At 33.9% G+C, this 6987-nt stretch overlaps 1 pseudogene, besides 1 other annotated feature; it reads left to right on the top strand.

The window, feature by feature from the left end:
- Positions 882 to 1596, top strand: RPL10AP4 (ribosomal protein L10a pseudogene 4; annotated as a pseudogene).
- Positions 5556 to 6124: an enhancer, noted in NCBI's record as "OCT4-NANOG hESC enhancer chr1:81678894-81679462 (GRCh37/hg19 assembly coordinates)". NCBI's record gives its function as "activates a minimal SCP1, AML or CMV promoter by ChIP-STARR-seq in primed H9 embryonic stem cells {active_cell/tissue: H9 hESC(primed)}" and the evidence as "EXISTENCE:reporter gene assay evidence [ECO:0000049][PMID:30033119]".

Below are 6987 nucleotides of genomic sequence, written 5' to 3' on the forward strand. Positions count from 1 at the left end.
TGGTTACCAAAAGCTGGAAGGTGGGAAATTGGGGAGTTGTTGGTTAAAAGATAAAAAATTTCAATTAGACAGGAGAAATAAGGTCAAGTTATCTATTGTACAATATAGTTATTACAGTAAATAACAATGTATTCTATTTTGAAAATTACTAAGAGAGTAGATTTTAAGTGTTCTCACCACAAAAGATAGTATGTAAGTAATGCATATGTTAATTAGCTGGATTGAACCATTCCACAATGTACACATATTTCAAAGCATCATGTTGTACATGATAAATATATGCAATTTTTATTTGTCAATTTTTTTAAAGCAGCAACATTAAGGAAAGTGAGCAGAAAAGGCCTCATATTTTAATATTACCTATTTAGGAATCAAAATTTTCCTTACAACTGCAATAAATTTCACCAGCAGCATCTTCAAAGATGTTTGTTAAGTAGCTCATATATTATTTGAAACTGTCGTTTTCTTCTTAGTCCTTGCTACAGAAAATTTCCCCAATACAATCTAATCAAGTGAAATAGTTATGCCTTAGTAGGGATAAATAAGCTCACATATGTATGTTTGTGTTTCAGTAGGGATTAATAAACTAAACTGATTCATTCTCTCTGTAAGGTAGAAATTCTTTCTTAGAAACAATTGAGTAAGGAAATATTTGATCAATTTGGCACAGGTAATTCCAGACAAATAAGAAAATAAATAATCTTATATGTTCTTGTGAACAGATAGTGATAGTTCCAAGAAATGAATTAAGTAAATTTTAACAAGCAGTATAATTATTTCTGTTAGATAATCCTTAATCTCATCTACGAAACGGAAAGGAAATAAATGCCTTCCTGTAACAGGAAGAGTGAGAGAGTAAGAGGTATAAAAGATTGAGATGTGTCACTTTTCCGGTTAGCTCAGTGTGAGAAGCCATGAGCAGCAAAGTCTCTTGCGACACCGTGTACGAGGTGATGCAGGAAGTCCTGCAAGGGAACCAGCACAAGGGCCCCAAGTCTGGAGACAGTGGAGTTGCAGATTAGTTTGAGGAACTGTGACTCCCAGAAGGACAAGCACCTCTCGGACACCGTCAGGCTTAAGTCCACTCCCCACCCCAAGTTCTCCGTGTGTGTCCCGGGGTACCAGCAACACTGTGACGAGGCCAAGGTCATGGATATCCCCCACATGGACATCGAGGCGCTGAAAAAACTCAACAAAAATAAGAAACTGGTCAAGAAGCTAGCCAAGAAGTATGATGCATTTTTGGCCTCAGAGCCTCTGATCAAGTGGATCCCACAAATCCTGGGCCCAGGCCTAAATAAGGCAGGAAAGTTCCCTTCCCTGCTCACACACAATGAAAACATGGCGGCCAAAGCGGATGAGGTGAAGTCCACCTTCAAGTTCCAAATGAAGAAGGTGTTATGTCTGGCTGTGGCTGTTGGCCACGTGAAGATGACAGAAGATGAGCTTGTGTAGAACATTCACCTGGCTGTCAAATTCTTGCTGTCATTGCTCAAGAAAAACTGGCAGAATGTCCTGGCCTTATATATCAAGAGCACCATGGGCAAGCCTCAGCACCTATATTAAGGCACATTTGAATAAATTCTACTGCTACCAAAAAAAAAATTGTGATGTCTTTCAGCAGAATAATTTTAGCACCTGTGTCATCTCTGGCATTTTTTCTACATACTAGCCACTGAGATAAATTGGAGAGTAGGGTGTGATAGAAGGAAGAACAACTTAAATATTTCTAAATTTTAATTATTCTGATTTAAAAGATTACAAAGTTGAAATAGGTCAAAATTAAAACTCTGGGGAAGAGTTCCCTTTTTTTTTTTCATGTATGGGAAATGAAACAGCATCAGGTAAAATGGGGTTTACTATGTTTGCAAACTTTATTAGAAATTAGCTGTTTCTAGGGAGCTAAAACATTTCAACCGGTGCCAAGAGAGAAGGAAGGAGCCTTTGTATTTTGAAAGAATAATGAAACTAAAGAGTTGCAGCCAAATTTTGAAGGGGAATCCAAATGCTGTTTGGGGAAAAGATGACTAAATGAATTACCAGTGGCTGTTTGTCACCTCCCAAAGCTCTGTTGCAGAAAGACATTACTGAATAGCTTTTATAATCCTTTTTTCTTATCCTTTTCTTTCAAATCAAGTCAAGCAGAATATAGTTAAAGGCTTAATTTTCACTGAAATGTTCTGTGTGAAATTAGACCTTCTGAATCCAACTTTTCCCAGCCACCTTTTTTTTTTTAAGCAGTAAGTAATCAGTGTTTAATTACTTGACTTTTACATGGTACAACCTTTGAGACCTTGCTGACTTACTGAGGCATCGAGGTGTATTGTTCAGAATGTTCAAAGACCCTGTATGTCTTGTTAGCATTAACAATGGTAAGGTTAGAAATGGAGAAAGTGGACTGTAACATGCTCTTTGGGTACACCATTGCACACATGATAAAAGCCTCAAATTATTTAACTTCTGATGTTACCAGGCACAAGGTAGAAAAGGAAACATAATTCTGTGCTTTTTTTTTTTTTTTACTTACGATTGCAATTTTGTTACTAACTACTGGAGCTTGAGGCCCTCAGAGGAAAGATATGTCTTTGTGACTGTAAAACAGAAAATGAAGGCAAGAGTTGGCAGAAATTTTTATTCTATAAGAACAAACAAATATATAATTCAGAACCATAATATGTGCTTTAGTGATTATTTATAAGCTATATATATGTGAAGTGTATTCCCTCTTTTAAGGTTTTGCGGATGGAGTCCATAAGTGAGAGACTTCACACTAACCCAAATTAAAACTCATACTACTTTAAAATTGTTTTACAGACTCGATCTATGTAAAAATTATCATATTAATAAGGTTTATTTATTAATTTTTAGTCAAATGTCAAGACACCAAATACATTAATATAAGGAAGAGAATTATAGAGTGCTCCGTTTATACCAGTAATACATCAAAGACGTCAGTGTGATACATGGAAAAAATTAATCCAATGACCTTGTGTCCTTTTAAACATACGTCGTTTCTACCCTGCCTACACCAAAAAAAAATTTAAAAGAATTTGAGATTCATTCCTGTTTAGTTTGTTTGCTTGTGCTGCTATGACAAAACACCACAGACTAGGTAATTTATAAATAATGGAAATTTATTTCTGTTTTAGAGACTGGGAAGTCCAAGATCAAGGCACCAGCAGGTTTAGTGTCTGGCAAAGACCTGTTCCTCAAAAATGGCACAGTCTAGGTGTCATGACATGGCAGAAGAGCAGAAAAGAACAGACTCACTTCCTTAAGACCTTTTATAAGAGCCCTAATCCCATCCATGAGGGTTCTTCTCTCATTAATCAATTCTTAAAACCTATTTATGCCTAGTGTTCCATTATTGAAACTCTAAGCATGTGGGAGTTATTTATATCCTACTGCTCAAGGTCATCACTGAGGTCTGATTACAAAAATTCAAAAAATTGCAACCTCAGGCATAAATGGGCTAAAGCCTCCCGCCTCTAAATACTATCACATGGGCAATTAAGTTGCAGCATATGAATTTTGGGGAACACAGTCAGATCACTCCAATTGCCCACAAGCACAAATACATGTATAATAAAAGATCAAATAGAAATTTAAATTAAAAATTCTCAGAAATAATGACTGTCTTGGCACAGGCTTGCAAATATGGAGTTATTGGTCACTTATTTTGATCTTTCATGTTTGATTATTACTTGTGATAAGTTATGATCTCTTTCTGGTGTTTCCTTTTTCAAAAAAATTTTTAGCCTCTAGGGGAACATGGTAGTAGCCCATCCTACCACAGGGACTAACCACATTCATAGTAAGTAGACAGTGTTGCTTCTTTTTTGTTTAAAGATAAACTGCTAATTTCCTTGTTATTCCTCATCTATACCAACAAAGAAAACTAATGTATATTAGATATATTTGGGTGTTGTCATAATTTTATTCCATTTTGCTTTCCTATATTTTCTGATTTTTTGCAATAATTATGTATTTCCTCATCATCAGAAAAAGCAATAAATGTGGTTCAAATAATTGTTAAAACTATTTAAAGAGGAACAATCCAGAGAAACTACATTTGTTTTCGCCTAGAATTAGGTTAATTTATGTGGATTGAGAAACTTTGAAAGAAAAAAGTGCAAATCGACTAAAAATGAGGGTTTGAGCATGCATATTCCTTTTTTAGTGTGCTTTTTATAGCACAACCAGTGATACAATGATAGCCAATACCATAGAGTTGCCATGAGGTTCAAGTGAGATAAAATGAATGCACTAGCACTGAGATTGATGGGATTAAGCATCTGAAAGGAGGAACAGGAGGCAAAGGAAGAGCAGATGGAGGTGAAGACAGAGACAGAGTCAGAGACTGTGAAGGAGACAAAGATGAAGACACAGGCCCAGACCACCCAGACCAACCCTAAACTGTACTGTATCACATATTGCTGCTTTTCTTTCCCCTTGCAGCTGTAAGTTACATATCTGAATGACATGTGCAATTTTGAGTGTTCTTTACTTTTTATATACTACTACTGCTGCTATTTATAGATGTCTTTGCCAATTTAGGCCTTTTTCACAAAGAGAATCTCATGTAATCATTACAGGTGCCATGTGAGATGGACACTTTCTCCATTTTAAAGATGAAGAAGTTGAGATTCACAGAGCTTAACTAATTTGCCAGAATTCACACAAAACTAGAAGAGGTTCAGATAATTTAATCTCCAGTCTCTTTGTTTATATAGGACTTTTAAAATCTTAAGATAATTTCTATTTTTCCTTAAAAATTTCTCTTATTGTTCTCAGGGTTAAAGTAAAAATTTTAAAAACATATATATGAGGAAGTAATATGCACAGCAGCAAAAATCTTCATCTGAAACTCTAGTCTTTTTTTCAGGTTACAGTACAAATGATTGCATAAGTTTAATAGGGGCAATGAATTTCTTTTGTAATGATTTCAACTAAAATGAACAATTTTATTTTAGCTATACTCACTTCAAATATGGAAATTCTGGTCCCACTAAAACCATTCTTTCTATTCTTTTCAAGAAGGATACTCTAGAATTATTTCATTGTTGTTGATTTTGAAATGTAAATAAAATTAGGAAAATAATGAGCAAAGCAATCTACATTTTTATTCAGAATTTGTTAATTTGATTAAATTTATATCAGATATATTCTTTTTTCATGACATTGGAAAAAATATTTCTTCTTTTCTGCATCCTTTTTTTTGTACCCAAAATAAACTTTTTGGCTGCCTAGTTTATCTGCACTTGATGGATAAAAGAAAAAAAAAACGAATTTGCTGTTTAACAAAGGGAATAAAGCACCACTTTGCCAGTAAAACTCTTTAAATTTATTGAACAATTCTTCCACACTTTATAAATTATTTTTGTCTAATTGTAGCTACATTTAAGTTAATTTAAAGCATTTTCTCAATAAAAATATAATGTTTATATTTTTCTATTATTTCCAAATGTTTTGTATCAATTTGATAATTGATTAATCACCAAATTGGAAAATTGTCATTTTCTCTGGCAATTTTCTGAAAAAAAAAGTCAGTTTTTTTTCCTTTTTTAAACAAACAAATGCAACTGGTTTACTTTAGTTTGAAGCTTGACCTAACTTGGAAATAAACAACTGGCCTAATCATGTATACAGTGGAGATATTTAATGAACACCACGTAAAGTTTGCCTTGATGGACTATGACATAGAAAAACCCAGACGTGTTCATGTGTTCATGTAAGAAGTCACTGAGGCAACAGCACTTTACATTAACCATCCGCCTAACACTAGTCGATCCTTACGTCACAATCCAAATTGGTGATAGAGGTTGTGCAATGTGGGAAGTAAATTAAAACGTTCGAAAGCTCTCCTTAGTTTGCATTTCCTTTTTGGCTGCTTCCTGTTGTTTTTGTTTTTCTGCAGGGTCTAAGAATTTCCCCTGGAGATGGGGAGAGAGTGGTTGGGGAAAGCAAGGGAGGGTATATATTTACATTAAGAACAAAAATGAAGACAGATAATCTTTCCTTTCTAAACTACAATAGAGAAATAGATATATATATATCAATGACTTGGAGTGCCCTACCTGAATGACCAGAAACAAAAGTTACCTGTATTTTTGGGCTGACAGGCTGTGATAAACTATAAAGGGTTTCTGTTCAAAGATGATTTAATACTGTTAACAGGGAAAGAAGTCAGCAGGGCATATCCTTTGGAGACTAATATTCTTCATATCTGAAATGCAGTTTTGGTTAAGGTCTCCAAAAGAGACTTTTAGAGATTGGGAACCTACATGTTTTTGCAATGGAATTTGACAAGCGTGGCATTTCTTACATAGCAAGCATCCTAGGTAGCATTCATCAGAGAATCTTAGTTGCTTGTGGTTTTTGCTAAATTATAAGTTATTTGAAATACATAATTGTTTTTAAATTTTAAGTTAATACATATTTTAAAGTATACGTACGTGTGTGTGTGTGTGTGTGTGTGTGTGTGTTGGAGAGAGGGAGGTTGACTTAGAAATTGAACGCTTAGAAAATAGAAAGCAGTAAGACCTTTCTCTTTTTTTCCCAAAGCAGATTTTTAAAGTTAGTTGAAATATTCTAAATCCTCTTACTGTTACCAATAAATTCTGAGTATATGTCACATAAATGAGAGTTTCTTTCTCCTCAGGATAAATTTCCAAAAAAAATTTTTTGATATATACTATTTTGAGTTTCCTAATTTGCTTCTGACTGGATAATTTATAAATTTGAACCCAGAGCTGCTCAATTTTAATAGAAACTATTAACATTTGTCTTAATCTAGAAATAACATTATTAACATTTTACATGTAATATATATAAGTATGTATATATGCAATGCCAATCTTAATTTGTGAAGAATGTCTTTTCCTATGTGTATAGGAAAGGAAAATAATATATTTTTTCAAAGTTTGGAAAACTTTGAAAAATTTGATATTGTGGTGATAAAAAATGAGACTGTGCTCGATCAAAAGA

Source organism: Homo sapiens, chromosome 1 (assembly GCF_000001405.40).
Source record: "Homo sapiens chromosome 1, GRCh38.p14 Primary Assembly".
NCBI classification, from domain to species: domain Eukaryota; kingdom Metazoa; phylum Chordata; class Mammalia; order Primates; family Hominidae; genus Homo; species Homo sapiens.